Source organism: Homo sapiens, chromosome 17, assembly GCF_000001405.40.
Source record: "Homo sapiens chromosome 17, GRCh38.p14 Primary Assembly".
NCBI classification, from domain to species: domain Eukaryota; kingdom Metazoa; phylum Chordata; class Mammalia; order Primates; family Hominidae; genus Homo; species Homo sapiens.
Window position 1 is genome coordinate 21,096,572 of NC_000017.11, and position 12,643 is coordinate 21,109,214.

The 12,643-nt window shown below is 46.4% G+C and overlaps 7 annotated features.

Annotated features, from left to right (window-relative positions):
- Positions 2,289-2,905: an enhancer, noted in NCBI's record as "H3K27ac-H3K4me1 hESC enhancer chr17:21002173-21002789 (GRCh37/hg19 assembly coordinates)". NCBI's record gives its function as "activates a minimal SCP1, AML or CMV promoter by ChIP-STARR-seq in naive and primed H9 embryonic stem cells {active_cell/tissue: H9 hESC(naive and primed)}" and the evidence as "EXISTENCE:reporter gene assay evidence [ECO:0000049][PMID:30033119]".
- Positions 2,289-3,523: a biological region, named in NCBI's record as "H3K27ac-H3K4me1 hESC enhancers GRCh37_chr17:21002173-21002789 and GRCh37_chr17:21002790-21003407".
- Positions 2,705-2,999: a silencer, noted in NCBI's record as "tiled region #5958; HepG2 Repressive DNase unmatched - State 1:Tss". NCBI's record gives its function as "represses a minimal TATA promoter and a strong SV40 promoter by Sharpr-MPRA in HepG2 cells {active_cell/tissue: HepG2}" and the evidence as "EXISTENCE:reporter gene assay evidence [ECO:0000049][PMID:27701403]".
- Positions 2,705-2,999: an enhancer, noted in NCBI's record as "tiled region #5958; K562 Activating DNase unmatched - State 1:Tss". NCBI's record gives its function as "activates a minimal TATA promoter and a strong SV40 promoter by Sharpr-MPRA in K562 cells {active_cell/tissue: K562}" and the evidence as "EXISTENCE:reporter gene assay evidence [ECO:0000049][PMID:27701403]".
- Positions 2,906-3,523: an enhancer, noted in NCBI's record as "H3K27ac-H3K4me1 hESC enhancer chr17:21002790-21003407 (GRCh37/hg19 assembly coordinates)". NCBI's record gives its function as "activates a minimal SCP1, AML or CMV promoter by ChIP-STARR-seq in primed H9 embryonic stem cells {active_cell/tissue: H9 hESC(primed)}" and the evidence as "EXISTENCE:reporter gene assay evidence [ECO:0000049][PMID:30033119]".
- Positions 2,918-3,127: an enhancer, noted in NCBI's record as "active region_11878". NCBI's record gives its function as "activates an Ori minimal core promoter by ATAC-STARR-seq in GM12878 lymphoblastoid cells {active_cell/tissue: GM12878}" and the evidence as "EXISTENCE:reporter gene assay evidence [ECO:0000049][PMID:35858748]".
- Positions 11,780-12,643: an enhancer, noted in NCBI's record as "NANOG-H3K27ac hESC enhancer chr17:21011664-21012527 (GRCh37/hg19 assembly coordinates)". NCBI's record gives its function as "activates a minimal SCP1, AML or CMV promoter by ChIP-STARR-seq in naive and primed H9 embryonic stem cells {active_cell/tissue: H9 hESC(naive and primed)}" and the evidence as "EXISTENCE:reporter gene assay evidence [ECO:0000049][PMID:30033119]".

Consider the following 12,643-nt stretch of genomic DNA (forward strand, 5'->3'; position numbering starts at 1 on the left):
AATAAATAAAAAGAAAGAAAAGAAAAGAAGAATAGGATAAGTTGGGTGGGGAAGGAGAGGGCCCCATTACAACTGTTAATCACTCCAAAACTTAGTGGCTTAGCACGACGACATTTTGCTTTACTTTTTCGTGGTTCTGGAAATTGGTTGGTATAGTTCTCTCAGGATCTCTGATACAGTTGCAGGGAGATAGGGGCTGGTACTTGATTCATCTTAAAGGCTTCACTGAAATATCTACCGGTTGACACTAGTTGTTGGCTGGGCCCTCAGCTGGGGCTGTTGACCAGAACACTCCATGTTGCCTCTTCATGTAGCCCGGACTTCCTGATAGCACAGCAGCTGGGTTCCAACAGCAAGTCTGGGGCTACACTTCCTGGGAACAAGGAAGAAGCTATCTCACCCGGACTTGGAAGTGACATGGCCTCACTTTCACCATAGTCACAAGCCCTCCCAGATTGAAGTGGAGAGGTTCTACCTCTCAACAGAAGTGTCAAAGTCACCTTGCAGGAAAGAGGATGTGGGATGGGAGATATCACTGTGGCCATTTTGGAAAACACCATCTGCCACAAAGACCTGTAAGGGCCTAAGTACTGAAGAGATTACACTCATCCCACCACCCAAATGTATTTCAAATACAAACAACTCTAGACCATAAAATAGGGGCAATGCAGCCCAATAAAGTATGAACTTCCTGTAACTCCTTCCATGCTTTTTTTGCTGGTGGTGGAAGGGACAGGGTGTCAACCATCAAATACTGTAGCGATATATTCTTTTTTTTTTTTTTTTTTTTGAGACGGAGTCTCGTTCTGTCGGCCAGGCTGGAGTGCAGTGGCATGATCTCGGCTCACTGCAAACTCCGCCTTCTGGGTTCATGCCATTCTCCTGCCTCAGCCTCCCAAGTAGCTGGGACTACAGGAGCCCCCCACCACACCCGGCTAATTTTTTTGTATATTTTTAGTAGAGACGGGGTTTCACCATGTTAGCCAGGATGGTCTCAATCTCCTGACCTCATGATCTGCCCGCCTCAGCCTCCCAAAGTTCTGGGATTACAGGCTTGAGCCACCACGCCCAGCCATCAAATACTGTAGAGATATATTCTTTTTCTTCACTCTCTTTTTTCTTAGGGGGTTGCCTCTGCTTTGCTGGTGCCCTAAGTGTGTGCTCAAACTATATGGTGGATGCTCCAGCCTGGGGTAAGGGTGTTTTGGGCAGAGGGAGGAGAACATGAAAATAAGTTAAACAGCAAGATTAGGTACACTTGGATGGGTAGAAACCAGAGGGAGAATGGTGAGACACGATGCTGGAAGGCTGATAAGAAACAGATCAGGAAGAGCCTTGTGGGCCAATCATAATACTGAGCATCAATAACAATAGCACGCATTCTGTTGTTCTTAGTATTCTAAGCACTTTTCATAAGCACACATTTAACCACTCAACAACCCTGAGAGATAGGTAATATGATGGTTTTTTTTTTTCTGAGACAGTCTTGCTCTGTCGCCCAGACTGGAGTGCAGTGGCGTGATCTTGGCTCACTGCTACCTCTCCTGGGTTCAAGCCATTCTCCTGTCTCAGCCTCCCAAGTAGCTGGGATTACAGGCGAGCGCCACCACTCCCGGCTAATTTTTTTTTTTCAGTAGAGACGGAGTTTTGCCACATTGGCCAGGCTGCGATTATTTCATTTTATGGATGAGTTAAACTGGTTAAATACTTTCTTCAGGCTCACACTGCTAGTAAGAGGCAGAAATGTGATTTGTGCCCAGGAAGTCTGGCCCCAGAACCTGCTCCCTTAACTGCATATTACTAATCAAAGGAGTGTGCACTTCAGCCTGAAGGTGAAAGTGAGTGATTTCCTAGAATATGAAATTTGATTAAAACAAAAGTAGAGAATTTCACTAAAACCTTCTGGCCTGATTTTGGATACCTTGGGAAATACAAACTCAAGAATGAAATGTTACATCCTTTTTTTAAGGTATACTATACATATGATTGTAACTCATGCCTGTAATCCCAACATTTTGGGAGGCCGTGGCGGGAGGATCACTTGAGGCCAGGAGTTTGAGACCAGCCCGGCCAACATAGTGAAACCCTGTCTCCACTAAAAATACAAAAATTAGCCGGGAGTGGTGGCTCACGCCTGTAGTCCCAGCTACTCAGGAGGCTGACGCAGGAGAATCACTTGAACCCGGGAGGCAGAGATGGCAGTGAGCCGAGATCGCACCACTGCACTCCAGCCTGGGCGACGGAGCGAAACTCCATCTCAAAAAACAACAAAACATCAATCTTAAGAGTACAAACTTACGAGTTTTATACATGTGCACACCCATATAATCATTACTCGAATATCACAGACATGATGTTGGGTGAAAGAAGCCAGATGCAAAGCGTACCCCTTCATGAAGTCCAGGAACTGGTGATGGAGGTGCTAGAGGACAGAAGAGTGGTTATCTGGGGCTAGGCATAGTGACTGGGAGAAGGGCATGAGAGAGCCTCGGGGTGTGGAAACCGGCTTTTCGGGTCTGCAAGGGTCGCTGGGAAGTGTAGTCTTTTGTTGGGGGCGGAATGAGCTGCTAAAAGGCAGGGTCCTTTTACACCAACGTTGATAGAGATCGATATTTATTCCTGCTACACTGACAAAAAGGAATTGTACACGAAGAAAAAAGGCAGACATTTAGAGAAGAGGAATTAACGGGCAGGTTCATAGGAGGGCTGCTAGAATCTATCAATCTCACACTACCGTTTCCTTTTTCTTTTTTTTTTTCTTTTTCTTTTTGGACCTTGCGTCTTTTCGCGCCAAAGTCCTAGAGACAGAGCCTGATTGGCCCAGCCACGACCTGTGCCCATCCATTGGTGGAGACCTCTTGATTAACAATCTTTCAAATTTCCGGAGCGACCGAGGGACTGACTGACAGCCTCGGGAGCTTACGCGCATCCCTGAAGCGGGCGCCAGCAAGTCCTTGGGGAAAACGCTGCCTGTACCCAAACCATAACCACGCGCTTGTCCCCTGCGAAGTGCTTCCCGAAAGACCCCCAAGGCAATTTTAAAGTTGCGGACACCTGAACCTGCTCCAGAGCTGGCTGGAAGCAGGAGCTGCCTCCCCAGGATGGGGCAGAATTTGCATCTCTCCACTTTCAATTTAAGGTGAACAAAGCAGAAAAGCAAGTAACTTATCACGATCAAAATGCAACATCTGATTCCCTTACACCTACCAGGAGGACAGTGCCTATTCCACACAGAGCCAGAAACCTGGAGAGAGGAAACAAAGAATGTAAGTGAATTCTAGGCAGCAAGCATTTTTCCATCCCTCAGCTAAGAGCCCTGCCACCACCTGTCCGTCTTCAGTAATACACTGGTTGACACTTTTTGAGACCCCAATATAGCGCTGAGCACTGCCCAACCTAAAAATGACTATTATTTTCCAGTCACTTTTTTTTTTTTTTTTTTTTTTTTTTTTGGCAGAGTCTTGCTCTGTTGTCCACGCTGGAGTGCAGTGGCGTGATCTCGGGATCTCGGCTCACTGCAACCTCCACCCCCCCGGGTTCAAGCGATTCTCCTGCCTCAGCCTCCCGAGTAGCTGGGATCACAAACTCGCGCCACCACGCCTGGCTAATTTTTGTATTTTTAGTAGAGACGGGGTTTCACCATGTTGGTCAGGCTGGTCTCAAACTCATGACGTCATGATCCACCCGCCTGGGCCTCCCAAAGTGCTAGGATTACAGGCGTAAGCCACTGCGTCCGGCCTAATTTTTTGTATTTTTAGTAGAGACAGAGTTTCACTATGTTGGCCAGGCTGGTCTCGAACTCCTCAGGTGAGCCGTCTGCCTCGGCCTCCCAAAGTGCTGGGATTACAAGCCTGAGCCACTGCGCCAGGCCCAGAGTCACTTTATAGATAAAAAGCCCTATAACTTCAAAGATCAATACCTAAATTACAAGGGGAAATTAAGTATTCATAAACAGATTAAAATATGCTTTAAAGTTCCATGTAACCATAACCTTTCTTCAAAAGGTTATTAATGCTTAATCTGTGCCAAAAAGTCACATTGAATATACATAGAATTTATGTTCTTTGTAGCAAGATTCAGGGTGGTTTGGATAATTAAGACGAATATGTGAGTAATTGTTCCTGAAGGCTCCATGTGTTTGGAGCTATAAGAATATTCCACATTCTGAGAATGTGGAAATTACTTTCAGTCTGGGAAAGGAGGCAGGGTTAGGGAAGCCTTCATGCAGGAGGTGGTATGACAACATCATCACTTCCTCAGTATTTCTGTATTGCAGTCAATAAATGTCTGTATGAAAAGCACATAGCACCGTGGCAACAAACTAGATACAGCTCTTGCCCTCTAGAAAAAGGGGGAACATACTCCACCAAAGATGAGGTACAGTGTGTGCCAAACAATGTGCCTATACTTCCTGCTGAATTACAGTTATTTTATTTATTTATTTATTTTGAGATGGAGTTTTGCTCTTGTTGCCTAGGCTGGAGTGCAATGGCACGATCTCGGCTCACTGCAACCTCCGCCTCCCGGATTCAAGTGATGCTCCTGCCTCAGCCTCCCAAGTAGCTGGGATTACAGGCATGTGCCACCACGCCCGGCTAATTCTGTATTTTTGGTAGAGATGGGGTTTCTCCATGTTAGGCTGGTCTCGAACTCCCAACCTCAGGTGATCTGCCCACCTCAGCCGCCCAAAGTGCTGGGATTACAGGTGTGAGCCACCGCGCCCAGCCTACACTTTTTTTTGGTTGTGGTTTTTTTTTTTTTTTTTTTTTTTTTTCTTGGAGACAGAGTCTCGCGCTGTCCCAGGCTGGAGTGCAGTGGCGTCAGCTCTGCAACCTGCACCTCCTGGGTTCAAGCAATTATCCTGCCTCCCAGATTCAAGCAGTTCTCCTGCCTCAGCCTCCCGAGTAGCTGGGACTACAGGTGCACGCTGCCAAGCCCGGCTTATTTTTTGTATTTTTTAGTGGATACCGGGTTTCACTGTGTTGCCCAGGCTGTTCTCGAACTCCTGAGGTCAGGCAATCTGCCTGCCTCGGCCTCCCAAAGTGCTAGGATTACAGGCGTGAGACACCACGCCCGGCTCAGTTATTTTTTATTTATTTATTTTTTTGAGATGGAGTCTCACTCTGTCGCCCAGGCTGGAGTGCGGTGGCGCGATCTCGGCTCACTGCAGGCTCTGCCTGCCGGTTTCACGCCATTCTCCTGCCGCAGCCTCCCGAGTAGCTGGGACTACAGGCGCCCGCCACCACGCCCGGCTAATTTTTTGTATTTTTAGTAGAGACGGGGTTTCACCGTGTTAGCCAGGATGGTCTCCATCTCCTGACCTCGTGATCCGCCCGCCTTGGCCTCCCGAAGTGCTGGGTCAGTTATTTTTAACCTGTGTATTTGACCTCACTCACTAGAGCCCTGACAAAATGGTTGCTTGGGGAAAGCTATTTTTGGAAAACTTCTCCAACTATAACTCATAAGGTGTAAAACTGTCACATTTGTCCAGAACGTAATCTAAGGAAACTGTCATACAGTTCCCAAGGACATTTTCCTTTACCAGAGGCCCCTTTCAAGGTACGGCTATTGGATTACTCCAGTTGCCACCCTTGTCTTAAAGGAAAAACTCAGCTGAATTAAATTTAGCAGAGTTTATTTGAACAAGAACGATTGGCAAATCAGGTAGCCTCAGCCAGAGTAGGCTCAGGGACTCCAGTACAGCCATGTGGTGGAAGAAGATTTACAGACAGAAAAAGGAAAGTGAGGTATGGAAAATGGAAGTGAGGTACAGAAACAGCGGATTGGTTACAGCTCAGCATTTACCTTACTTGAACAGAGTTTGAACAGTAGGCCACCTTTGCATTGGCCAAAATGCAGTGACTGACACAAGAGTAGGCTACAGTCTGCTTACAACTTCATTTAGGTTATAGTTCACAATGTGCAGAGAGACCTTTAGGCCAAACTTAAAATACGTAAGGAGGCAGCTTTAGGCTAAACTTGATTTAACACTTGCAAATATACAAATATGTTCTGGTAATGATTTGCATGTTTTCTCACAGGGTAAAAGGCATTTCCGTGCAGAAAAGCAACAGCCTTAGGAGTAAGTAAAATTCCCTTAACCAATCAGTATATAAAATGTGGCCCATTCTCCAACATTTACAATGTGTTCATCATTTGTAGTTACCTGGGTTAATAAAACAGATAAATGCAGCCAGTTGTGATGGCTCACGCCTGTAATCCCAGCACTTTGGGAGGCCAAGGCAGGCAGATCACTTGAGGTCAGGAGTTTGAGACCACCCTGGCCAACATGGTGAAACCCCATCTCTACTAAAAATACAAAAATTAGCTGGGAGTGGTGGTGCATGCCTGTAGCCCCAACTAGTTGGTAGGCTGAGGCGGGAGGATAGCTTGAACCCAGGAAGCAGAGGTTGCAGCGAGCCGAGATCACTCCACTTCACTCCTGCCTGGGCGATAGAGCAAGACCCTGTCTCAAAACAAGACAAAACACAACAAAATAAAAACGCATAAATGGAATAATCAAAACTCAAGGCTGGGCAAGGTGGCACACACCTGTAATCCCAGCATTTTGGGAGGCTGAGGCAAAAGATCACTTGAGCCCAGGAGTTTGAGACCAGACCAGGCAACATAATGAGACCCCCATGTCTACAAATAATACAAAAAATTAGCTGGGCATGGTGGCATACACCTGTGGTCCCAGCTACTTGGGAGGCTGAGGTGGGAGGATTGCTCGAGCCCAGGAGTGAGCCATGATCATGCCACTGTGCTCCAGCCTAGGCAACAAGTTAAGACCCTGTGTCTTAAAAAAAAACAACAAAAATAAGCCGGGCGCGGTGGCTCATGCCTGTAATCCCAGCACTTTAGGAGGCCGAGGCGGGTGGATCACGAGATCAGGAGATCAAGACCATCCTGGCTAACATGGTGAAACTCCATCTCTACTAAAAATACAAAAAAAAAAAAAATTAGCCAGGTGTAGTGGCGGGCGCCTGTAGTCCCAGCTACTTGGGAGGCTGAGGCAGGAGAATGCCGTGAACCCAGGAGGTGGAGGTTGCAGTGAGCCAAGATTGTGCCACTGCACTCCAGCCTGGGCGACAGAACAAGACTCTGTCTCAAAAAAAAAAAAAAAAAATGGTCGGGCATGGTGGCTCACGCCTATAATCCCAGCACTTTGGGAGGCCAAGGCGGGCAGATCACAAGGTCAGGAGATTGAGACCATCCTGGCTAACACAGTGAAACCCTGTCTCTACTAAAAAATACAAAAAAATTAGCTGGGCTTGGTGGCGGGCGCCTATAGTCCCAGCTACTCGGGAGGCTGAGGCAGGAGAATGGCGTGAACCTGGGAGGGGGAGCTTGCAGTGAGCCAAGATTGTGCCACTGCACTCCAGCTTGGGGGAAGAGCGAGACTCCGTCCCCGCCCCCAAAAAAAAAACACCCACACAAAAGCTCAACTGGGAAAATTAACTGAGGCTTTTAAAATTCCTTAGCCAAAAGCTCTTCCTTCCACTGGTTCTGCTTCATCTAGGTTGACCCCCTTTTGGTAAGCACCAGCTGGGGATTTTGAATCTCCATTCAAAATCATAATCGCAGACCTATGAAATTATCTCCAGAAAACTGTACATCTGTAACAGTAAAGGGAGACAGATCCAGATATTACAATGGTCTTATGAAACAATTATAAATTACATATTAGTGAAAGAATCTTTTCATAGTGAGCTCCTGGGAAACTAAAACTGCAAGGACCACAGACTTCAACCAGCAGGTTTCGTCTATTGGAAATAACATTAAAAACAAAACTCGGTGGGGCGCAGTGGCTCATGCCTGTAATCCCAGCACTTTGGGAGGCCAAGGCAGGTGGATCACCTGAGGTCGGCAGTTTGAGACCAGCCTGACCAACATGATGAAACCCTGTCTCTACTAAAAATACAAAATTAGCTGGGCATGGTGGTGCGTGCCTGTAATCCCAGCTACTCGGGAGGCTGAGGCAGGAGAATCGCTTGAACCCGGGAAGCGGAGGTTGCAGTGAGCCTAGATCACACCACTGCGCTCCAGCCTGGGTGACAGAGTGGGACTCCGTCTTAAAAATAAATTAATTAATTAATTAAATTAAATGAAAAACACAAACAAGAAAACTCTCTTCAATCAAAACGGTATGGACCTTATCAGTTACTCCTTAGTAGCCCTTTGGGATAGTGACAGGAGGCAGTCAAATGCCTAGGCAGATAGGGGTGGGTCCCTGGTGAAACCCGACCTTTGAACTGAAGACAGTGCCACGTAGATCCTTGGATAGGATCGAGAACCTGTCTTCCCGTTTGGCATGCTTTCCTCTGATTGATCCCCACTCTTCACCTATTTTACATATACCTACCCTTTCCTAATTGTTTTTTTTACACTGCCATGCTCATCCTTTAGTGGTGTCTTTGCTGTAGCCTTTCTTTGATACTCACAAACCAATCAGTATCTACTCCCCTATTCTGAACCCATAAAAGCCCTGGACTAAGCTAGGGGGAACCACCCCCTGCATCTCCTCTCTGCTGAGAACTATTCCATCACTCAATAAAATTCTTCTCCACCCATTCTCACCCTTCAATTGTCAGCATATCCTCATTCTTCTTGGATGCAGGACAAGAGCTTGGGAACTGCCAAACATGGGTACAAGCTATAGCACAGGCAGGCCGATTGGGTGGGGCACCTCCAGTGGCTGGCCCAGGGCCAAGCAAGGCCCAGGCTAGGGGGCGTCACTGCCTGTGGAGGTCTCCAGTTGGCAAAGTGACTGAGAAAAATCCTGCATCATTTGTGAACGCAAAATATCTGAGTCAGGTCTCAGTCAATTTAAGAAAGTTTATTTGCCAAGGTTAAGGATGAGCCTGTGACACAGCCTCAGGAAGTCCTGAGACGTGCCCAAGGTGGTCAGGGGTATAGTTTGCTTTTATGCATTATAGGGAGACATGAGAAATCAATAACATATGTAAGATGTACATTGATTCCATCCAGTAGGGGAGGATAACTTAAAGTGGGGGCTTCCAGGATAGAAGTAGATAAGAGACAAAAGGTTGCATTCTTTTGAGTCCTTGATCAGCCTTCCACTGAATACACAATTTAGAATGGCTCAGTGAATATGCATTTTCACATAAGCAATAGGGCAGAGGAAGCAATCAGATATGCATTTGTCTCAGGGGAGCCTCAGAGGGATGACTTTGAATAGAATGGGAGGCAGGTTTGCCCTAAGCAGTTGCCAGCTTGACTTTTCCCTTTAGCTTAGTGATTCTGGCGTCCCAAGACTTATTTTCCTTTCATACCTTATACCACAAAATTAGAAGACAGAGACCCTTGGATTCACGTCTCAGAAGGCTGAGTCAACTAAATGTGGACTATTTCACCAGGTGATACCCTAGGATGGTTCTTTGGGTTATGCCTGGGCACAAGGTGAAAAAGTTCATACCCTTTTTTTTTTTTTTTTTTTGAGACGGAGTCTCGCTCTGTCACCCAGGCTGGAGTGCAGTGGCGTGATCTTGGCTAACTGCAAGCTCCGCCTCTCGGGTTCACGCCATTCTCCTGCCTCAGCTACAGGCGCCTGCCACCATGCCTGGCTAATTTTTTTTGTATTTTTAGTAGAGATGGGGTTTCACCCTATTAGCCAGGATGGTCTGGATCTCCTGACCTCGGGATCCACCCGCCTCAGCCTCCCAAAGTGCTGGGATTACAGGAGTGAGCCACCGCGCCCAGCCTACCCTTTCAAACTGTCAACAAAAAGAGTCAAACTCTGTAAAATATTTTAAGAGATTTATTCTAAGTCGTATATGAATGACCAATGTTCCATGACAGCCCCAGGAGATCCTGAGAACATATGCCCAAGGTGATCAGGTTTTATACATTTTAGGGAGACAGAAGACACTAATCAGTATATGTAAGATGTACATTGGTTCAAAGTCGGGGCAACCTGAAGCGGGGGTGGGGCTGGGATGCTTCCAGGTCATAGGCAGATTCAAAGATTTCTGGACTGGCAATCTGTTGAGAGTTAAGTTATTTTCTGAAGACCTAGGCTCAATAGGGAATGTGAGGGTTTAAGATAAGCAGTTGTGGAGACCAAGATTCCCATTGTGTAGAGGAAACCTCCAGGTAGCAGGCTTCAGAGAGAATAGATTGTAAATGTTTCTTATCAAAGTAATTCTCTCCTGGATCAGGAAGAATGCCCAGAAAAGGAAAGAGATTCTCTTCAGAATGTAGATTTTACCCACAAGAGGCAGCTTTGCAGGAGTATTTCAAGATACGGCAAAGAAGCATAATTTGGGGTAAAATACTTTGATTTTTTTTTTTTTTCTTTGAGACAGAGTCTGGCTCTGTCACCCAGGCTGGAGTGCAGTGGCTCAATCTCGGCTCACTGCAACTTCCCCCTCCTGGGTTCAAGTGATTCTCCTGCCTCAGCTTCCGCAGTAGCTGGGATTATAGGGGCATACCATCACACCCAGCTAATTTTTGTATTTTTAGTAGAGACAGGGTTTCACCATGTTGAACTCCTGACCTCACGTGATCTGCCTGCCACAGCCTCTCAAAGTGCTGGGATTGCAGATGTGAGCCACCATGCCCGGCAAAATACATTGATTTCTTTCAGGGCCTGCTATCTGTCATGTGATGCCATATTAGAGTCAGGCTGGAATTTGGCATCTTATTGCTACAGAGAGTCCACTTTGTCAGCCTTACGATCTGTTTTAATGTTAATGCTGGTCAGCTGGGCCTGAATTCCAAAAGGGAGGAGGGTATAATGAAGCATGTCTGACCCTCCCTTCCCATCATGGCTTGAACTAGTTTTTCAGGTTGACCTTAGAATGCCCTTGGCCAAGAGGAGGGATCCATTCAGATGGTTGAGTGTAGGGACCAGCCCCACAGGGTCGGTGGGTTTCTCCCCGTGTGTGGAGACAAGAGTGTAGAAGTAAAGACACAAGACAAAGAGATAAAAGAAAAGACAGCTGGGCCCAGGGGATCACTACCACCAAGTCGCGGAGACTGGTAGTGGCCCCAAATGCCAGGCTGCACTGATATTTATTGGATACAAGACAAAGGGGCAGGATAAGGAGAGTGAGCCATCTCCAATGATAGGTAAGGCCACGTGGGTCACCTGTCCACTGGACAGGGGGCCCTTCCCTGCCTGGCAGCTGAGGCAGAGAGAGAGAGAGAGAAAGGAGACAAAGAGAGAAACAACTTACACCATTATCACAGACTTTTAGTACTTTCACTAATTTGCTACTGCTATCTAGAAGGCAGAGCCAGGTGTACAGGATGGAACATGAAGGCAGACTAGGAGCATGACCACTGAAGCACAGCATCGCAGGGAGACGGTTAGGCCTCCGGACAACTGCGGGCAAGCCTGACTAATGTCAGGCCCTCCACAAGAGGTGGAGGAGTAGAGTCTTCTCTAAACTCCCCCGGGGAAAGGGAGACTCCCTTTCCCGGTCTGCTAAGTAGCGGGCGTTTTTCCTTGACACTTACGCTACCTCTAGACCACGGTCCGCTTGGCAACGGGCGTCTTCCCAGATGCTGGTGTTACCTCTAGACTAAGGAGCCCTCTGGTAGCCCTGTCTCGGCATGACAGAAGGCTCGCACTCTTGTCTTCTGGTCACTCCTCACTATGTCCCCTCAGCTCCTATCTCTGTATGGCCTGGTTTTTCCTAGGTTATGGTTATAGAGCGAGGATTATTATAATATTGGAATAAAGAGTAATTGCTACAAACTAATGATTAATGATATTCATATATAATCATATCCAAGATCTATATCTGGTATAACTATTCTTGTTTTATATTTCATTATACTGGAACAGCTCCTGTCCTCGGTCTCTTGCCTCAGCACCTGGGTGGCTTGCCACCCACAGTTGAAGGGCTTAGAATTTTATTTTTGGTTTACAAAACTCACAGATCTCCCTCATTTACAATCTTGTTGGATTCCTTCTGTATTCCATTGGCATTGAGGACTAAGCTCTGATTTTTTTCTTATCTTGCCCAAATTTCTATTTAAGGGGTCTGGGGAGTCATGCCCTACAAACCATAAATTCTCACCAGATGGGTTTTATTTAACCCTATATATTGTCACTTACTTTCCAACCTGACTCCGGCATAACATTATGAGACAAAATAAAATCAAAATATTTTACCCCAAAACATGTTTCTTTGCCACATCTTAAAATGGCCCTGCAAAACTGTCCTTTGTCGGGGAAAATTTGCATTTGTAAAGAATCTCTATTAACATAGCTAGATCTTTTTCTTCCAGGCCCTCCCAATCTAAAAGAGATTAAGAGTCTAGCACCTTTTAAAGGCCTGAATAGGAAACATTTGTCATCTGTTGTCTCACAGGGCAGCTACTATAAGACTTTAAAAGAACCTTGGTCTCCACAGTCTTTTATCTTAACCTGAACATTTCCTTTCTATGATCCCAGGTCTTTCGACAAACTCAACCAATTGTCAACCAGAAAATGTTTAAATTATCTATAGCCTGGAAACTCTAGCTTTGAGTTGTCCCACCTTTCTGGGCCAAACCAATGTATTTGTTAAATGTATTTGATTGATGTCTCATGCCTCCCTAAAATGTATAAAACCAAGCTGCACCCTGACCACCTTGGGCACGTGGTCTCAGGACCTCCTGAGTTACAGGC